Source organism: Homo sapiens, chromosome 7, assembly GCF_000001405.40.
Source record: "Homo sapiens chromosome 7, GRCh38.p14 Primary Assembly".
In the NCBI taxonomy this organism is placed as follows: Eukaryota; Metazoa; Chordata; class Mammalia; order Primates; family Hominidae; genus Homo; species Homo sapiens.
Window position 1 is genome coordinate 96,156,908 of NC_000007.14, and position 21,260 is coordinate 96,178,167.

The 21,260-nt window shown below is 39.7% G+C and overlaps 1 protein-coding gene across 8 annotated transcripts in view; it reads right to left on the minus strand.

Moving 5' to 3' along the window:
- The window catches only part of SLC25A13 (solute carrier family 25 member 13), a 201,879-nt gene that overhangs the window by 36,688 nt on the left and 143,931 nt on the right, over positions 1–21,260 (minus strand). For 6 of the 8 annotated variants that reach the window (NR_027662.2, NM_014251.3, NM_001160210.2 and 3 more), the window contains 2 exons: positions 14,565–14,617; positions 13,138–13,218 (listed from right to left, as the gene is read on the minus strand). Coding sequence is in view for 7 of the 8 variants with exons in the window: in NM_014251.3 (NP_055066.1) it covers positions 13,138–13,218; positions 14,565–14,617 (134 nt within the window). In the remaining variant the exon portion in view is untranslated. Of the gene's footprint in view, positions 1–12,961; positions 13,037–13,137; positions 13,219–14,564; positions 14,618–21,260 lie in introns of all 8 variants that reach the window. The other 2 variants (XM_047419714.1, XM_047419713.1) reach the window with 1 other exon arrangement.

Consider the following 21,260-nt stretch of genomic DNA (forward strand, 5'->3'; position numbering starts at 1 on the left):
GGCTTGCAAAATAATTATACTGATGTAGGTTTTGTCTAAATATAGCATAGTCATTTCAAGATAGGAGCAATGGGTGCTTCACCTATCTACCAATACAATCTTAAGTTCACATCTCCATATGACAGTTTTGGCTGCTGTAATTTGTATCGGAAGTCCATGATCTTCATAAATTCACCTTTGCATCCAGGAGTGCTGAGAGCAACCAGAAAGGGCAATAGGACTGTGACTACAACCATGTCAGCATGAAGTCCAAGCGCCAAGCTTCTCAAACGCACAGCATTCTACTGATACGAAGCATCATTATTTCCAAATGCTCTGTTTTTTTTTCATGTGAAATGGTCCTCACGGCTCACAGTAAAATTATAGGTTTTTTCTTCTAATACCGCCTTCTCTGAAATGGGCTAGTCTGCAAAAAAACCAAACTGTGGTTCCTATCACTGCGTCTTTCACTCAGTGTCTACATGCTTCTATAAGCTTGATTTCTTCTTCTCCTCCTTACGGTTTTGCCACCCGAATCCCTCTTGCCATGTTACATAATGACTTCATTGTTGACACTTCTGGTTTGGCACAGGGAAGTGATATAGCTATTTATTTTTTAAAAACAGATTTTTAAGGGCTGGGTGCCGTGGCTCACACCTGTAATCCCAGCACTTTGGGAGGCTGAGGCAAGTGGATCACTTGAGGTCAGGAAATGGAGACCAGCCTGGCTGACACGGCAAAATCCTCTCTCTACTAAAAATACAAAAATTATCTGGGCATGGTGGTGCGTGCCTGTAGTCTTGGCCACTTGGGAGGCTGAGGCAGAATTGCTTGAACCCAGGAGGCGGAGGTTACAGTGAGCCAAGATTACACCACTGCACTCCAGCCTGGGCGACAGAACAAGCCTCTATCTTGGAAAACAAACAAACAAACAAACAAACAAACAGAATTTTAAGAAATCAAATATTTTAGAAAGGCAACACAATCCAGAGTTCTAACGTACAGCCCCATTTTCTCTAAGTACTCCAAGAACAATGGCCTTCACTAAAATCATAATATACTTTAGGTCCAACAGTTGTGGACAAGTAGGTTTAACAGTTACATGTGCCTTAAAACTGACTCACCAAGGCTGTCTGCTCATTTTCACAATGATAGGAAATATCAGTAGCCTAAATACATTATCTAAAGGATAAGGGTTCAGGAGCTCCAGTTCATATTTCCCCATGATCCATTTCCTTTCATTTGTATCAACAAAACAAGGCTTTCTCCAATGCTTCTTTATTAAATGAGGTAGTATTCCTGAACATTTTCTTGAGACTTCAGGAGTCAAGTCAAAAGAACTCATTAGATAAAAATACAAGCCTTCTTACGCCTCCCAACCCCCAATCATTCTAGTCAACAGTCTTGAGAATATTCAGAGACTATTAATAGTCTTGCATTAAAACAAATTAAACCCATCATCAGTCTGCTGTCCACAGAAAACATGGCAGTATATTTTTTAATATAGCGCAATTTCAACTATATTTTAAACTAAAAGCAATAAATATAACTGTAATTTAATCACCCTCCTTTAATTTGAATTCACATGGTAGATACTTATAGCTACTTAAAAAATTAAGAGGCAAAATGTATATGAAGAATATGTATCTTGATATTTTAATTATGCTCAATTGAATGTACTTAGATTTAAAGTGCTTTTCACAAATGACATGTGCTAAGAATATCTAATTGCACACTGACATTCTAAAATGCGTGCTTACACGTGTCAAAAATAGATTAATATAAAGTTATAGAATAGACTTTTACTTAAACCCAAATACATTATTTTGATTATCTGGACACAAACACAATTGTAACTACAAACAAGATATATAGTAATAAATGTCTAGTGATTTATGTTTCATTAAGACGAATACACAAGTGATGACAGTGTTTGACATTTGAATAAATTAGAAAATAAAGACTTGTAAAGGAATCTAAGGTTCAACATATTTTCCATTTACTTTCTTACTAACTCAATGTTAAATAGAGACATGAAAATAATTTGTATGTAACCAACTATTATTGTATGCAGAGCTCACAGGTAAAAAAGAGATATTCAGCAAATAGCAGTGGATGGAATAAATTAAAACACATTGCCAAATTGCAGTCAAGTGCTGTTCAAAACTGTTCACAAGTGCTGAAGACGGCATTCAGCAACCTCACAAAGAAGCTGGCAAAGATGAGGTGGCATGAGGTCGGAAGGCCACTCACCCTGTCGAGCTCTGAAGGGAAGTGTGTTGGGCTCACTGCCTTCACAAGATACATCATCACCCTCCTGCAATCAGAAACCTGAGTCCTCACAAACTGAAAGAAAGACCTTTTCTTAAACCCTAGCATTAGGGCTGAATTGCGTCTCTCCAAAATTTGTATACTGAAGTCCTAACTCTCAGGACCTCAGAATGTGACCGGATTTGGACTTACGGCCTTTTAAGAGGTAATTAAGAAGAAATGAAGTCAAATGGATGGGCCCTAATCCAATATGACTGGTGCCCTTATAATTAGAGATTAAGACACAGACGACACATGGACTGAGGGGTGACCACGTGAGGACACAGTGAGAAGGCGGCCATCTGCAAGAAAAGAAGAGAGGCCTCAGAAGAAACCAAAACTGCCAACACCTTAACCTCGGACTTCCAGTCTCTGTTGTTTAAGCCTCCCGCTCTGTGGTATGAGGCATTTTGTTATGGCAGCCTGACCAAACGAATACACTAAGTTAGACTGTCTGACCAAATGCACATCTCTAAACATAAAGCAATATAGAATTTTTTTTTCTTTTGATTTGGTATGAAAATAAAACTCTTAAGTGAAAAATGTGTTACTAGATTATTAACAATATTGAAAAGATAATAAAATAAATTCTTACTCTAATTGGATTCTGAGAAAGATACCAAACTGAAATATCCTAGTCCTAATTTCTTAACCACACGGTAAGGCAGAAAAAGGCTATTCTGTTTACATGTTTTACAAATATTAAGTTTCATGTTTTCAGCTTCATGGGGTTTTAATGGGCCCATAGAAGCCTGGCCAAGAAACCAAAGTGGAATCCATTTGACTGACATTAAAAAGCAATTAACTTACAGGCCTGTCAAATATGTTAACATTTGGGGTCTGCCTGTTATACATGTGTATTTTGACTACTACTACCAGAATAGTTTAATGATTTACAGACCTTCAATGTCTAAAGTACCTTAACTGTATGAAAGCTATGGCCCAGTCTTTCTTCAGATTTTCCTATCGTAACAAACTCCTCCCTATTTACTAGAAATCCAGAAAGATGGCCCAATATTTGAACTGTGTTGAGTCAAACAACTCTGAGACTTTCCCAGAGAAGGTAAAGGGAGAAAAACAGAAAGGAAGTATCTGGCTGGCCCAGTGTCTAGCATGAAAGTTGGACTTTCCTCTAATAAGATGACATTTCTGAGCCACTGAAGGCAGCCCTTAGCCAGGGAGGCTATCCTTAACTGTCTTAGTCTGTTCGGGCTTCTGTAACAAAGTATCATAGACTACGTGGCTTATAAACAACATAAATTCATTTCTCAGAGTTCTGGAGGCTCGAAATCTGAGATCACAGTGCCGGCACAGTTGGAATCTGGTGAGCACTGCTTCCTGGCTCACAGATGCTGTCTTCTCACTGTGTCCTCACATGGAGGAAGGAGTGGGGACCTCCCTGGGATCCCTTTTATAAGGGCACTAATCTCAAACTGTAGGCTCCACCCTCATGACCTAATCACCCCCAAAGGTCCCACTCTTCTAATACCACCACACTGGGAGTTAGGTTTAAACATAGCAATTGTGGGGAAAATAAACATTCAATCTATAGCACCCATGAGCCCTTAGTACCATCAGATATTTCTTTTAATTTTGCCCTCAGTCCAAGTTGAAATCATCTGGAGAAAGAGCCTCTCATTGGAGTAGGCAAGCAGTGGAACTCTATTCAAGACCAATGCCTTAGTCCCATTGCCTGGAGGACTTTTTGAGAAAACCGATGGAGCTGCCTCTTGGCTTTTCAGAAATCTGCCAATTTAGATAGTGCCATGAGGTTAGCATTTTTTTTTTTTTTTTTGGCTATTAATTGGCTCCTCCTTTTTTAAAGCTCCTCTTTTCTATGATTCCTTCATGACTCTGACATAATTTCATGTTAGTCATTCAATAAAGTCTTTTCTACTTAAAATACAAGCCATAATAAATAAGCTATACCAAATGCTCCAAGTTGTTTATCTTCATCCTGTTCTTAAGATTCTGAATATATTTGGGGATTATTTATTTGTCATTCTTAGAAATGAAGTCAAATAAAATAAATAGGAGCCTTATAAAGGTTGGTTCTATTACTGGGTGATCATGGAATACTTTCTTGTGAAATATCCTGGATATGCAGACACCTAGCCATGGTTACAGCTATTCCCTCAATTCCTGCACCCCTACTCTCCCACTAATTTTTGGAGTTAATTCCTCTTTGCTGGCCATCAGTCTCTAAATGAATAGTAACATGGTATACAGAGTCACTACCCTTCCTTTCCAAATCTATGACCCACACCTTGTAGTCAAGCATTTATTCATTCAACAGATTTTTTTTTAAGTTTCTTCCATATGTCAGACACAATGCTAGACACACAGCTGTAACAGTGCAACACAGGCCCTGTCATCCATATTTATAGATGTCTCAGTTCAGCCATTTACTCAAGGTCTGTGAGATGCAATTAGTTGTCAGCACAAAGTTATGAAGGAAGATCTCCTCAAGTGGCAAAGCAGTGACCATGGTTGACAAAGACAGCAGGTCATATAATACCAGACACAGTCTCCAACCCTCCAAGTCAAGAGGAGATGGAAGGCAGAGATAAAGTGCAAGTACAAATCAAGAAAATCTTTAATATGGTCTTACATTTTGGCGGAGTAGGCAAAAAGTTCTCCCAGGGAATATTCCAAACAATAACAATAATAACATTTGAAAACAATATAATCACTAGATTTTCACTGAACTACAAAAGACTGTAAAGATACAAGCATTAAAAAAATTAACATTATTGCTATAGCATCACTATAATGCATAATGTATCTTGATTAATTCACATGTCACACAAGAGTGACTTCATAAAAACTCAACCTAATGATTAAGCCTCACATCATCTTATATTTATAAGTAAGATATGTGCAGAGACTTGCATAGTGAAATAAAAATTCTACCTTAAGAAAACCACACTATGAGGCTACGTATCCACAGGAAATCCTGGGAAGAAAAAGATCGCGAAGTAAGACTTAAATCCACTTCAGGCAATCTGTCTCATCAGCTCTGATTGTCAGAGTATATGTATTCATTATATGAGGAAATTTTCTTCCTGGTTTGATATGAGTGAGTATGAAATCTTAAGGGATTTCAAGTTCAATCATAAGGAATGGTGACTTTGAGTATATTTTATGACCAAAGTATACACAATACTATTCAGGGCAAACTTACAGAATTCAGAGCTAAAAACAAAACAGTACAAGAAAGGTTTGAAGACACTTACAGGTAGTTGAAACAAATGGAAATGTTAAGCAAAGTCATTAATATCTGGGTGGCGCCATGACTCAAGGCTGCCATATGTATGGCCTGGCGCACAAAGATGAGGTTTGCCAATCAGATTTCCTCTCTCAATAATTAAATGGAAAACAAAACAAAACTGAACAACTTAAGCTAATTAGCTGGGGCTGGGGCAAGGGATGAAAAGAGGCTGTCTCCTACTGTAGAGAAAGGCTAGGTGGCTGGCAAGAACATGAAGGGAATTCTTGAGAAAGTCAACACCAATTCTTCAGGAAGAGAAGAAGTTATGGATTAGAATAGTCAAAAGATGTGCAGAGGGATGCAAAGTCACTGTGAGAGAGACAAAGGCCAAGTAGAGAAAATGGAGAGAGTAGCCAGTTCCTAATGCTGCCTCAATTCTCAAGAGCCTTCAGTTTCATTTAATGGGTACCCTTAAAGTAAACCTTCATTTGATTAACTCCAACTTTGGTGAGTTTCTGCCCCCTGCTACCAGAAGCAATCTAGAGAATGAATGGGTTCTAGGATCAGCAACAGACCCTCAGAGAAGGCATGAGATGGGCTATGAAACCTTCACAAGGTGAAGGGCAATGAAGATGTTCCCAGCCCACAACACAGCTTACTGAATCCTCCAGTGGCAGTTAAAACATCCTTTGCTATTATTCCTATTACGATGTAGGGTCTAATTTCTCTCCTGTTGAGTCTGGGCCAGCCTAACTGGCTTGTCTGACCATCAGAATGCACTGGCAGTGACCTTCAAGGTCAGGTCATAAGAAGTCTTGTTTCTGCCCAGGACTCTTAAGATGCCTGCTCTTGGGAGGCTCCCTCTCAGAATCAAATTGTCAATGTTTGAAAAGACCAAGCTACACAGAGAAGTCAAGCAGGTGCTCTGGAGCACAGCCCCAGCTGTTCAGTTACAAGAGTGAGCCACCTTGGATATCTATCCCGGTTGACCCTTCAGATGAGTCTGGCCCCAGCTGCCACTAGCCCATAACCATATAAGGATCCCAAGTACAACCCTCCCAGGCTGAGCCCCGTCAATCCATAGAACCACAAGAGAGAATAATAATAAGTATCTATTTGAAGCCACTAAATTTTCAGATTATTTGTTATGCAGCAATAGATAATCAGAACACTTCTCCTCCTCAATGATGGAGAAACACTGAGATCATTCCTGTTAGGAGGAAAGCCTTGGAACTGGGATTGGCATGCACTGTGGACACAGGATGAAATTAAAGTCATTTTTAGAATAAAGATGCTATGTTACCCAGCAGAGGAAATCAATCAGTAGAGAAATGGCAAATAAGCAGGTTCACAAAGAAGACCAGAGATTTCAGGAGCACCTGAGGTAGCTGAGGTCCTCAACAGCCATATCCAAACTCCAATACACCTATTCCATTCCCCTTCACCCAAAAAGCCAAACTAAAACATTCATTTTCACAACATCCTCTCTCTCTCTCCATATATATATATATTAGAAGTTAAAAAGTAGACACCAGAAGAGGAGGAAGACTAGTACTTAAGTCATGATTTAATTCTTTCATACATATTATCTCATTTAATTTTTCCCACAATCAGGCAAGGTAACTGTGGTGCATTAAAGATGGCTGCAACATCAATGCCACATCTCCCATTCAGAGGTAGATTATTTTCCCTGGCACTGAATCCGGCTGGCCTATAACCTGTTTTAACAAACACACTGTGGCTAAATTAATGTTGCATAACCTCAAAAACTGGGCCTGAGATTTTTCTCAGCTTCTTATTCTGCTCTCAGAACTCACCTTCTTAAGTCTGACACTATAGTGTGAGGAAGCTCACGCAGATATGCCATGTGGAGAACCTGTTCCCCCAGCCATGGCTCCAGCTGAGCTCCAAGCTGATTGCCATTTGTGTGAGGACATTTTGGACCTTCTAGCTGCCTCACCACTCCAGCTGAAACCATGGGAAAGAGACAGAAACCACGGAAAGGAGGCAGCATTAATGAAAAAGAACAGATTATTGTTTTAAACCACTAAGTTTTGGAGGGGTTTGTTACACAGCAATAGATAACTGAAAGAGAAAGTTGCTATCTAAATTTTATAGACAAGAAAGCTGCAACTCAGAGAAGTCAACTAAGTTGTCTAATCCTTGATTCACATCTGGCAGGTGAAGGCCTTGGGACCCCAAACCGACTAAAAGCCCATGTTCTTTACAGGAAACTGGACTGCCTCTTGTTAGATGTGATTATTTTTACTACAAATGGCTATGATTTTCAAAAGGATTAACTTTACACACACACACACACACACACACACACACACACAAAAGAAGCAGCAGCATCCCTGTTGGCAATTCTCAAAAATTAGAATGGCAAGGTTTTAAAAGGAACACTTTCACTTTGTAAAATGATCTCCATCTATATGCTTTCTATTCTTGGTGATTTGGGAATTATCATTAAGTATGGCTTGGAGAGACAGGTGATAAGTTTTATTGTTAATGATGGGAAGGGGTTTGACTAACATTAAAGAAAAGATATAAATGAGTCCATTATCAGATTTGTCGTTGATTGGCTGTGAAGATTGACAAGATCACTTTTGAGTGATTTTAGCTTTAAAATTCTTTCATTTAACCAATATTTACAAAGAGTCTACAGGTTACCATGCAATGCCTGCAGTCCTCAGGATACATCAATGAATAAGAAGATCCCTGCTTTTGCAGAACTTGTACTCTACCATGAAGGAGACAGAAAATAAACAAAAATCATGAAAAATAAGTAAGTTATACAGAATGTTTGAAGGTGGTAAGAACCATGGCAGCAGAAGAAGAAGGGAGGGATGATGGGAAGGCAGGCTGATAGGTAGATAGGGAGCGTATGCTGGCAGTGGGGAGGGTTAACATTTTTAAACTAAGTATCATGTATAAGTTTAAATCATAAGACTGAAGAAATGACTGTTGTCTAGGGAGAAACCCCAAGTAACCAAAAACTTGGTTAAATGAATACACTGTTCCAACCATAAGTCCATCTAGAAACCCACACATCTGTAACAGACATACGCAGTATCTGCCGCATTCCAACACTTTGAATGTAATACTCCCATTTACTATTATTTTCTGATAAGCAAAGCACATGAGTTGCACTAATGGGAAAAAATGCAAAGGCATCAATCTGGGAATCATATGAGGTGTTCCTAGAGCACTGGGTTAGGATGAGGCATTCAAAAACAAACATTTATACTGCTTAGGATATTCACAGGTAATAAAAAGTAGAGAGACATGCTTAGAATGAAAAACACCACTGTCAGGACAGAGTTTTCTCTTGGGAGACAGAGGTAAGGGAATGAAAAGCAATTTGGACAGGTACATTAAGGGCCTCCAACTGCACTGTCAAGTTTGTCACCAATCTAAGTGGTAGGCACACCTGTGTCTGTATTGTTGTGTTTTTCAAAATTTTTCAAAATATAAATTAACTGCAACTGAATGTAATGTATGAGATGAGTAATAAAACCTTGCCTTAAAAACAGTATTTGATACGTGGCTGGACAAACTGGCATAAACACATCATGCATATGGGAATCACCATTATGGTAGGAATCAGGCAGGAAACTGCATTAGGGTCCTACTTATTTATAGGGGAGTGTAATTAAGATTACTCTTCATTCCATGTTTTCCCAACAGTGTTAGTCTCACCAGTCCCTTTTAGAACCAGTGACACAAGCATATAAACTGTTTTTCCAACTCAAAATGCAGTCAAAATGAATATAAACTTCTATAAACACCAATTATATTTACAACATGCACACTCACGCACACACATGTGTGCATCACAATGAAAAAATACCCTGGACCCATTATCAAAGGACCATAGTTTAAAAAACATGTTAATTTGTCTTTCCAAAAATTACTACACAATACTATTACTTTCTCTTGTTATATAAACAGTTTTTACTAAATATGGCTTTATAAGACAGATGTTCATACTTTCATGACTTTCTTTCTTAGTAATATTAGATTTATTTTCAGGCCAAATAAATTAATCATCATATTTATATTTCTTCCTTGAAACTAGTCATTGCACCACTTGTATTTCTTATCTGGTGACTTTTTTTTAAAGATCAAAGGATCAAAAGCTAAAGATCCCAGGCTCCTCAAGATTTCAACCTAGATGCATATTACACTAGATATATAAAAGTCATACACTTACTTTGTTGAATGAAGCACTGCAGCCTACAGATCATATTGCATTACATACATTATTTTTTATTTTTTTCTTAAAGTAACAGCAAAAAAGCAATAAAAACAATATATTCAGAGGTAATACATCAATTTTCAGAATCATTGGGAACCTAACTGGAAGTGGCTAGTGGTAACAGAACCTCTGTCTTCTGACACACACGGTCACTAACACAGATTTTCAATCACATCCCTCTAAAGGTGCCAAGTTTTTGATCCAAGAAGGGAAAAGATGGAAAAAAACAGAAGGTATACATATATATATATACCTCATGCAGGGAAGACTGAAGGTCCAAGTCTCCATCAGAACTCCCACAACTACAACCCTAATTTAGAATGCAGAAACCCAAGTTAGGGAGAAAACACAAACCACAAAGGATTCTTTCAGATTTAGAGTTTGTAAACCCCAGTCTCAGCATCGAGTTTTGTCTTAAAACATGCTGAATATATCACTACTGTTAAAGTGTGAATCTATAAAAATGCTCAGAAAACTGAAGTCAATTTTTAACAGTGCTCTAAACTAAAACTAATCTCAAATGCAAAAAATGAGTTTAAAAATAAAGTTAGACGTGAAAGTTAGCCCTTTTACATATGTCAGTGAAACAGAAGATTATTTTTTCATCTCTTCAGTTACAGGCTTTATTATATCAAAAATAATAAATAAGAAATGGGATAAACTTTATTCCTTTTTAGTGACAATCATTTTTTCCCCTCCAAATTTACTAACACTTTCATTCTAAAAAAATATATACAATAAAACAGGCTGTTTAGCTAAACATTATGAAGTTATGAGACAAAGATCTCCCTACATACTTTCCTCATTTTTGCAGAAAACAGATCATAAAACAGAATAAGCCTTGTTCAAAGAAATGAGCAGCTTTGGTTACAAGTGCAAAAGTCAGCCATGTGTACTAATTCTCAGTAATCATGAAGCAAGGTGAGCTCCCCAGGGACTTAAAAGTCAACACCTAGCAATGCTTGGATGAACTAAGATGAGGAACCGCTCATGTGACACAACCTTACAAAACCCTTTGTATTCCCAATAGGACAGATGAGGCTGTGGAACTCACAACAACCCTCTAAGGTGTGTGACTGACTCCAATTATAGAGAAGACTTTGCCAAAGCCTGCAAAGAAAGATGCTGCTATTACTTAAAAAATGCATGGCTGGGCGGGGTGGCCCCATGCCTGTAATCCCAGCATTTTGGGAGGCCAAGGCAGGCGGATCACGAGGTCAGGAGATTGAGACCATCCTGGCCAACATGGTGAAACCTAGTCTCTACTAAAAATGCAAAAAAGTTAGCTGGACATGGTGGTGTGTGCCTGTAGTCCCAGCTACTCGGGAGGCTGAGGCAGGAGAATCGCTTGAACCCGGGAGGTGGAGGCTGCAGTGAGCCAAGATCCCGCCACTGCACTCCAGCCTGGTGACAGAGCGAAACTCTGTCTGAAAAAAAAAAAAAAAAAAAAAAAAAAAAAAAGCACGTGTGCACACACACAAACACACACACAGAAAATGGAACCATCCATTCATCTACTCAGAGATCTAAAGGGACCTGGGTTGTCTGCTACCTACAGGATTGCTTAACTGAAAATAAACTCTTACTTCTTAAAGTAATGATTGGGGGGGAAAAAGGCAAGGGAGAAGACTTGAAAAGCTAAGGACCACTGTCTACCTCTTTGAGATGAAGGATGGCAAACCTCATTTCACAGATATTTTAAGTAGCTGTAAAGCCTAAGTGGCTCCAATTTTAAGCCTGTGTTTAGATCAGGTTTGAAAAGGGCTACATCTCTTTACATAACTAGGCACCACTTCTGATGCCAATGTGCTTTGTGTTTGAAATGGGCGGCCGCATATGCAAAAACAAGACCACCTACAGATGGCACCTAGAAAATACGTGCCACAACCAATCTCCTTGGCACCCAGAGGTATGTGCAGGCAAAATGCTTTCATTAAAAAGAAAATAAACCTCTGGGCACCATGCCATGATGATTGCCAACATCTTGAGTAGTATCACATAATTAATTTTACATTTTAATTCTTACAGAAATCTATAATCATATCTTTTCAGAAAGTTTAAAATGTAACTTAAAAAAACAACAACCCCACCTGACCTACCAAAAAACCCTGCTATATCCTGGGCCCTGCAACAACCTGAAGGACTAGGCTAGGCACAGCCTATGGATATACCTACTCAAAAATTAGAAAACCTACTTACTCAAATGGAAACTACAGAGTTGTTTTAAATGGAGAGTAGTTATGGGGAAGAGCAACTTCTAAAATTCTCTTTGATTATTATTGTGTGCCCTTTATATTTAGGACATTAAAGGCTCCTTTTTTTCCATCCTGAACGCTCCTAAAGTTACAGAACAAGGGGATCCTGCCTGCCCATCTCCAACAGGTCAGTGATCAAACAGAGAGTCAGGCAGTAGCCAAATTCCATCCATCTCTAAAGAATACCAGGAGCTAGGACTTCTTAGGTCCTGCTACATTTAAGAAACCATCATTCACCATTAGATAGGACAATAAGCCCTTTCCACACAAACATTGCCCAACGTCTACATTCAAGGATCTTCAAGAAAAAAATTACTTTAGGAATACTACTTCCTGCCCAGAGTAAGCCAATTTAAAAAAGTGACTTCATCTTTTTTATAAGAAATAGGTTCGGATAAAAAAAACCAATATTGTATCGCCTGAGTGATCAAAGCCTGTTATTTAACCAATCTTATCTTTAAATAACACTAGTCTTTGTATAAGAGTTTAATTTACTTAAAGTATTTACATTCGCATGAACAAACCAGTACGAGATAAAACGAGACACAATGTTTTGCTGAGCTTCAGAACAAGATGCAAGTTGTTCATCCATATAAGGAAACAATCATTCCAAGCATTTTTGACAATGCAGCGCACACTCAGCCAGTTATTTCCCAGCATTGTTCTCCCAAAAGCAGTGGAAGCTTGAACAGTTCTGCCACTTGCAAGGCAAAGCCAAGCAGAGAGCTACGGTTGCTGACTTCAGACTACAAGTTTTAGTGCCTGACCCAGCAGAGGGTGCCATGAGGAAAGAATGTACTAAAAATTAACTTTAGAAAAGGTTAGCAAAGATTTTTCAAAGGCCAAACACTTCTGCCACAAATGACTTCCATTGCAGAACAAACCATAAGCAATGACGAATTTAACAGGCATGACTTAACAGGCAGTAAGGTCAGAAACATTTACCCTTCCACCTCTGGAATGGTTCGCCTGTCTAGGAAAAGCCGAGGTGCCCTAGTAGACTCTGCCCTTGTGCAGGATCTGTGGTTAAACAGAAGCCTTAGTCCACACCTGTTGACCATGGTAGTGATATATATGTGAAACAAGTCTTTTCAATGAAGAGAGCTTCAAAAGGTACTTACGCAGCCTCCAGCAAGAATTTCTGCTGCAAGTGGGACCGAACCATCTTTGTGCATAAATTTATCCCTCACAAAATCGTTCACCTTGAAGAAAAATATTTATAGAAGCTGATGAAAAATATAAAGAAAGTCATTAAACACTTATAAATATGCATCTGTCAATATATGCTATTTTTTTCTATCAGTCTATTGGAGTAATCATAAATTGCACAATTTAACAGATCTTAAAATAGTTTGAGAAGTACTCTTAATAGTATAATAGTTTTAAAAAATGAAAAATATATATGCATCACTGATGTTTCAGGAGAAAAGTTAAAAGATAAATGAAAGCCAAAAATATGTTCTGCAATTAGAATAGCTTAAGAAGGGAGACACACTGACAATAGTGACAAAATAAAAACATACATCTTACAACTTAAAACTGTTTTATAAGGCTTGATTAAAAATCACTTTCAAGTCTTCTAACAAGAATTAATCTAAAACAGTACTCATCATGGAGATAAATTTGGCTGAGCAGACTTTTTCAGCTTAGAAGAAATTCAATATCTAAAAATTCCTCAAGGATTCTCAAAGAACATAAATTACATTAATTAATTAATATAATATTCTCAAAATGGTATGTAGTACAAGAAATTTTAAGAAACAGTCATATCTTTTTGGCAGACATAGGCCAGAGAAGATTAGCTATCTCAAGGTCACATAACAAAATGGTAAAAGAAGAATTTCAGGCTCCAAAGCTACGCAGCCCAACCTAAAGCTAGAGTTTTACTTTCTGGGGCTTTGTGGCCTTAGTGATGCAAATATTTGTATATTCCACAAACGCTTAAACTGAATATCAACCATCTGTCAAATGTGAGCCAAGCACTGGGCAAATAATCTGATAAAGGATCAACTTCAACTAGAACCCAGATCCCTGCACATTTGGCTTTATAGAACACACCCTAACCATGAATCCTATAAAAACAGCAGGTGTAATAGAAAGACATGCTCTGGAGTCAGACAAGTGTGATTTTAAATTCTAGTTCTCCCACTCATGATTTGTGTGAACACAGGTATGCTACTTAAGCCCGATAGGCCTCAGTTTCCTTATCCGTAAACTGTGGATCATGCTTTGCTTGAGATTAAACCAGTAAAACGTAATATACGTCATGTGCCTAATATGGTAGATACTGAAGGGAATTTAGCTGCTACTGCTGTGATGACAACAATGATGGCAGCAACCACCAAAAGTCCTCAAGTTTATTATCACATTTTTGGATGTCCACTGCTAAATGGAGAATAATGAAAAAATGTGTGTGGTGAGTTCCCCTGCTTTCAAATTAGCTAGCACCTCTGAGAAAACAAACCTGCTGTTTCCTATAAGAATACCTGCTAGATTCTTGAGTATGTACAAAATCCCTTAATAAGAAGCACCAACTCAAAAGACTTACTGTAAGTTTTATGGCCTTCTCTGGGGCAACTCCCAATAACTGTGGCAACAGACCTAAAAATCAACAAAAAGTAGAAGTATATTAAATAAATTAGCATTAACTAAACAAATCAACAGTTCTACAGAGGGGATTACCACTTAAAAACTGCTTAATCTCTGCTGCAATTTTCTGCTATTACCCTTAATGAGAATATTTGAAATGGAATGTTTAAGTACTAACTTCTAACAGCCGCATCAGTCCCAAGTACATTCCATCTCACATTCTGGATCGTTTGCACATTGGGTAAATCAACAGTATTAGTGATATAGGAAATCTCATTATTCCCCCAAAGTCTGCTCCTTCCCTTCTGCCTTCTAAATCAGTGGACCACTTGATTTTCTAAAACAAGGACCAATTTTGGGGAAGGCAGTTAGAACATTTAGTGGAGCTACGTATCTGAACTAAAAAATGTCATCATTTTCATTTGTTCTTCTTAAAGAAAAAAAAATTAAATCACAGTTGTTTTTTCTTGGAAACACACACCAAGCTAACCCTGAAGGTAGGAGCATGTTGCACCCTGTGTCATACTGAGAGAGGTTCATGGTAATATTCTTCATTGGAAGTACAATTTTCTAATTTATCTATGTAAGAAAGTCCACTCACAGCCTCTTCTGAGGGACCAGCCCTGCCCACACTCTCTTCCTAAAGGAGCAGCCTGAGAGGTCACTAGCTTGAATGCCATATGTATCCAACCTATAAGTGTGTTTTATTGAGTAACAAAAAGTTTCAAACATAATCTGACCTCCTTGTAAGAAAGATCAATGAGGCCAGGCACGGTGGCTTATGCCTGTAATCCCAACACTTTGGGAGGCTGAGGAGGGTGGATCATCTGAGGTCAGGAGTTCGAGACCAGCCTGACCAACAAGGTGAAACCCTGTCTCTACTAAAAATACAAAAATTAGCTGGGTGTGGTGGCAGGCACCTGTAGTCCCAGCTAGTTGGGAGGCCAAGACAGGAGAATTGCTTGAACCCAGGAGGTGGAGGTTGCAGTGAGCCGAGATTGCACCACTGCACTCCAGCCCGGCAATGGAGCGAGACTCTGCCTCAAAAAAAAAAAAAGATCAATGAACACACTGACCTAACAGTCAGTTCATGGGCTCAGTTCTGACCGAACTCTGACTGACCCCGGGCCTCTTTCTGACATCCCAGCCATCTGCTCTATTGCATGAGGCTCCATCCTTCAGACAGAAACCATGCAAGGTGGTGCCCACCCTGCTTTGAGGCCCGTACCTCAATGAGGACAAGCGCCAGTTTGTATTTTTTTTTTTGACGGAGTCTCACTCTGTCGCCCAGGCTACAGTGCAGTGGCGCGATCTCGGCTCACTGCCAGCTCCGCCTCTTGGGTTCATGCCATTCTCCTGCCTCAGCCTCCCGAGTAGCTGGGACTATAGGCGCCTGCCACCACGCCCGGCTAATTTTTTGTATTTTTAGTAGAGATGGGGTTTCACCATGTTAGCCAGCATGGTCTCCATCTCCTGACCTCATGATCCGCCTGCCTTGGCCTTCCAAAGTGTCGGGATTACAGGCGTGAGCCACAGCGCCCGGCCTCCAGTTTCTATTTTTATTGCTTTACTGATATCGTCACAATTGATAAAATTTTTTCTTTGCTCATAGCCTTATAAAGGGGGAAAACTAAAAAGATGAATACAGCTTCATGTTTTCATGGAAAAATGGGAGGAAGTCCTTCATTGTGGAATTAAACAAGGATAAGGATGGTGATGTTAATGAAAATTTTCTTTAAAAGTGCATCACGTTTATTACGTGCCAGGTACCATTTTACAAAATGTATTAACTCATTTAGTCTTCATAACCACTCTACAGAGAGGAAACCAAGGCATAGAGAGATAAAGTAATTTCTTCCAAGTTACCTAGCTGTTAAGTGGTGAGACTGGGATACAAGCTTTAGCCATCTTACTCAAAAAATCTGTATCTTTATATACAACTCAACTCTGTGTTAATGTGCAAATGTGTACCTGCATCTCACACACCCAGCTGCATTTGTTCACTTATATAACCTGCCTAGATCCTATCAGCATTTGAGTTTGCAACGCTTCTTTTTGTTTTTTCTCATTTTTTATTTTTAACAAAGAGATAAGCCCTCACTATGTTGCCCAGACCAGTCTCAGATTCCTGGCCTCAAGCAATCCTCCTGCCTAGGCTTTCCAAAATGTTGGGATTGCAGGTGTGAGCCATCTCACCTGTCCTGAGTTTGCAGCCCTTCACTAAGCAACTATAACATCTAAGCCTGCTTCATCCCCAGGGCCACAGCTGACTGGACAATGTAAAACACCTAAAAGACACGCAAATCAAGAGTTCAGCAACCTGAGCCTGCTACCAAAAATAGAGCTGGCCAATTAGGATGCCTTCTCCAGGAGGATGACTGACAGTCTTTAGAGAAGAGGGGACAAGTTAGCACAGAAGCAACAAGATGAAAAGATGTCATGGGTGGAGCAAGGAAAGCAGCCAATTGGAAGTCACGTGTGTGCTAATATCACAAGGAAGCAGAAACCATGAATAAGCAGAGGAAGTGCATTGGTGGACAGATGAGAATGTGGAGCAAAAGGAATAGAGATTAAAAAGAGAATGCACATAGCCCATGAAAGGCACACAGGTGGGAGCGCCTGTCCCCATCACCTTTGGGTCCCACTGAGGCCAGCCTCCAGTGCAGCTCCTGCTCTTGGATCTGAGATTTCTACCTTCTTTCTCTCTTGTGTGAATGTTTATCAAAAGCCCCCCTAAGCTCTTGCTAGCTTGAGTGGGGCTGTGCTCTTTAGAATTTAAATGAGCTGAGGCAGCATATGAGAAAAAACGGGAATATGCAACCATTTGGGCAAAGCAAGCATTCTTATCCAAAGCAAGCATTCTCTCCTAAACTATACTCATGACACTCACTCACTGATCTTTCAGTAAGATATCTATAATAGGAGAAGGCTTGGTTATTACCTAATAAAAGTACAACATTAATTTCTACTAGTAATATGTGGGCATACGCCTGTTTAAACTACCTCTTCACAATTGAAATTTTCATCTTTCTCCCTGTATTCACATCAAGTAACAAAATGCTTAGTTAAACATTTACTTGCTAGATGTATTTTTCTCATCATTAAATTGTAGACCAAAATTGTGGATGGGTTGAAAGCACTGTGATTTAAATGATGAACTCTTGTCTCCATAACTATCCTGTGACAGTCTTTTTAAATGACTAATAAAAAAACAGGCCACAGAGCCTAATGACTACTGTGTTAGATACAATCACTTCAGCCAGCCTTTCAAACTACTGAAATTTATCCTTCTCACCATAAATTTAGTAATGCATTGTGAACGGCAAAAAACAGAAGGGAAAACCCCGTATTTAAGACTACAAAGAAGGCAACAAGTAGCTATTTGTTCAGCAAACATTTACCAAATGCCTTCTCTGTCTGCCTGGTACTGAGAGGAACTGGGATGAACACAGTGAGACTGGTGCCTCCCCGCTAAGAAGCTCAGAGTTTAGAGGGAAAGGGAACGCTAGTTGTCTCCACCTGCCAGATGGGGGACAAACCACCTAACAACAGCAGGTGCTGCATACCAGACCCCAGGGGCATCACAGGACTATGAGAACCCAGTGGAGAGAACCAGTTCTTCTGCCTGCAGGAGGGGAAAAAACATCAAAGAAGAGGAGATATTTGCCCTGGGACTTCAAGGGTGAGCAGAGGTTCCCCGGAAAGATGAGACAATGAGCAGAATGGAGGGCAAGGTGACCCAGGCAGAGGAAACAGTTGGTGTGCAAAGGCACCAACATCTTAAGGCTATGGCATGGAGTCAGGGCACTGGAGGCTGTGCTTGGATCACAGAAGACCAGATAATAAATAACAATATTATTAATAGTAGTGATAATGACAACAGCCAATATTTGGGGAGCACTCGCTATATCCACATACTACAGTACTGTGTGTTTTATGTGAATGAACACATTTAATCCACACAATACCTTACTTAAACAGTGGCTTTTGTTTTATCCACAGCAACTGAAGAAGAAACTGAGGCCGACTTTAAGGGAGCTGCCCATGGTGGCTCAGCTGTTTGATGGGGGAACGGGGTTCCACCCAGGCTGTCCGACTCCAGCCTGTGCTCTTACCTGGTACGCTGCACAACTTCTCTCCCAGGCCCACTAAGGAGCATGCACCAAATTCTGTAGATGCATGGGGTGGCTTTTAGGGTAAAAAGTAAAGTTCAAAAAGTAAAAAGTTCTAGAGGCAGGTGAAGGATAGTTTGCAAGAGCAGAGACCTGAGGAAGCTAGAGAAACTAGGAGTTTAAGGTAATATATTAGAGGCCCCGAGCTTCCTTATATTAAATGATTAACTTCAACTTAGAATAAAACCAAAGCACAAATCCATTCCTAAGACCTAGGCCAGATGCTGCCACTCACGGAAGTTGTTGATAAGAACCATTCTTGTAGTGACTACCTTGTCTGGTTAAACAGGAAAATGAAGGTGACTGGATTATAATCTGAGGCCCACTACAGATGTGGGCCTTGAAAACATGAGTCTTGGGTAAATGGTCTTTGTAAGAAGGTCATGATCTGTGAAACAATGAAAAGTCAAAGAGGTGGGAATTCCAAACTCCCTCCTTGTACCTTGACCTCAGAGGGAGGAGAGGTAGCACAGCCCAGTAATGCCTAAAGCAGAGAGTCTAGGTGAGGCACTTCATCACAACCACAATTAAGTCTAAAGTGCATATATATCTGACATCTGGGTAATTCAGCAGAAAAATCAGGTTTCTAATATAAGATGTTTCTGTTGGGTCCTGGAAATTCACTTTAACCATTTGAAACAGAGAATGGATGTGTGTGTTGTTTCTAACTTGTCAAAACAGCAGTCCATTTTCCAACTGCCTCAAAAGAAATTTATTAGTGTGGTTAGTTTTCCAATCTTCTCCTTTTAGTTCAGCTCCATCAGCACATATGGCAATGCTTCCTTGGCAACTCGACTCTACCAGAAGGCTGCTAATGCGAGAAAAGATTTACAGGGTACAGTATTAATGTAGTATTTTGTCTTCACATTTCATGGGTTGGAGATATAAATCACACTATCCCCTCTGAATTCAGTCCCTTGCGCAAACCAAGGAGCTGAAGGTGTGGGGACCAAGCCCAGATCAGGGGTCTCCAACTCAAGCTTCACAGGACATCCCCAAAAGAGGTTCCTGGGCCCACTGTGTTCAACTAGAGGGCTAGCATGCTATTCTTAAGAACCTGTTAGAAATATAACTGGAATTTCAGGGTTGGAAGGGATTATGAAAGAAACTCAATATTGCTGGCCTAATTTAAACTAATTTTAGGCTATTTCCAACGGGCTGGCAGCAAAATGAACAATCTAGGGCATGGGCTTTGGAGGTGGACAGACCTGGGCTAGAATGCTAGGTCTGTGCATCTTTCACACTGAGTGATCTTGGGTAGTAATTCTTTGAATTCTAGGTTCCCTCTTGGCAAAACAAGGGTGCTACTTACTATCTATTGGTTTATTTTGATAATTATATGAATAAGTGTACAAAGAACCAGACACTATTTACCTCATATGTTATGTATTCCAAAAGACATAATGCTTCTTTCTACCTATCTTTTCAATACATAGCCTTGATTTCTTTTGTTTGCAAGAGGCAATTCAGCCTGAATCATGTTCACAGTCCACCATTAGCTAAGGAGTATCATGCTGTGCCCATGACATTATGCCTATCTTAGAACAGCTGTCCCCAAGCAGTGAGAGCACATGTGGTCTGGAAGTGTCCAGGGGCCCTGTATACTTTGGGCAAGGTAAAGTAGTGGCACAGACAAAACAACACATTTCAACTATGTTATTAAGCTGAAATAAAATATTATAGTTAAAAACTTAAATGATCCTTAACCTCTGCTGACAAGCAACTTTTCACAATGTAATTTCTACCAGGTGACAAAAGAGCCAAGTGATTAGGAACACGAGGTCTGGAGCCAGGCTGCTGAGCTTCAATTCTGACTTTGCTATTTGTTAGCTGTGTAATTGTGGACAAGTTACCTAATCTCTTTGTATCTTAGTTTCCACATCTGTAGAATGGGAATAATCATGATGCCATTTTCACGGGGTAGTCGTGAAGATGAAATGAGTTAACACTCACAAAATCCTCAGACCAGTACCAAGTACAGACAGTAAAGACTACAGAAATGGATTTTTGTTGTTGTTGTTGATCTTCATCATCACTATCACTTATTCTTCCTCCTCCTCCTTCATGGAAACTGGAATCCAGACAGGCTAAGCAGCTTGTTTCAAGTCACTAACTTCTGAGCGACTATGTAGTAGCACTCAAAGTTGAATTCAGGCCTGCCAGTACTCTCAAATCAGGGCTCTGTGCTCCTTAATTCTCTGCGGTACCAGTTTTCTCTAACAGACTTACTGCTCCAAGTTCCTCCTCTGCCCTGGAAAGGCATTTCTTCCCAACTAGACTGTTCTGAAACTTTTCTCTAGGCCTCAGCTCAGGCTGGGTCAGCACCCTGCCCTGCCTGACCCTTGTACACAACAAAGGGATGGTGCCCATGTAGCAGGCATCCACATCATGCTTCCCCCGTCTCTACAGATGGTGAATATTAGACTCCTTAAAACCTCGAAGGCACTGAATGTCAGAGCCAAGCTGTAGGTTATAACCTGGTG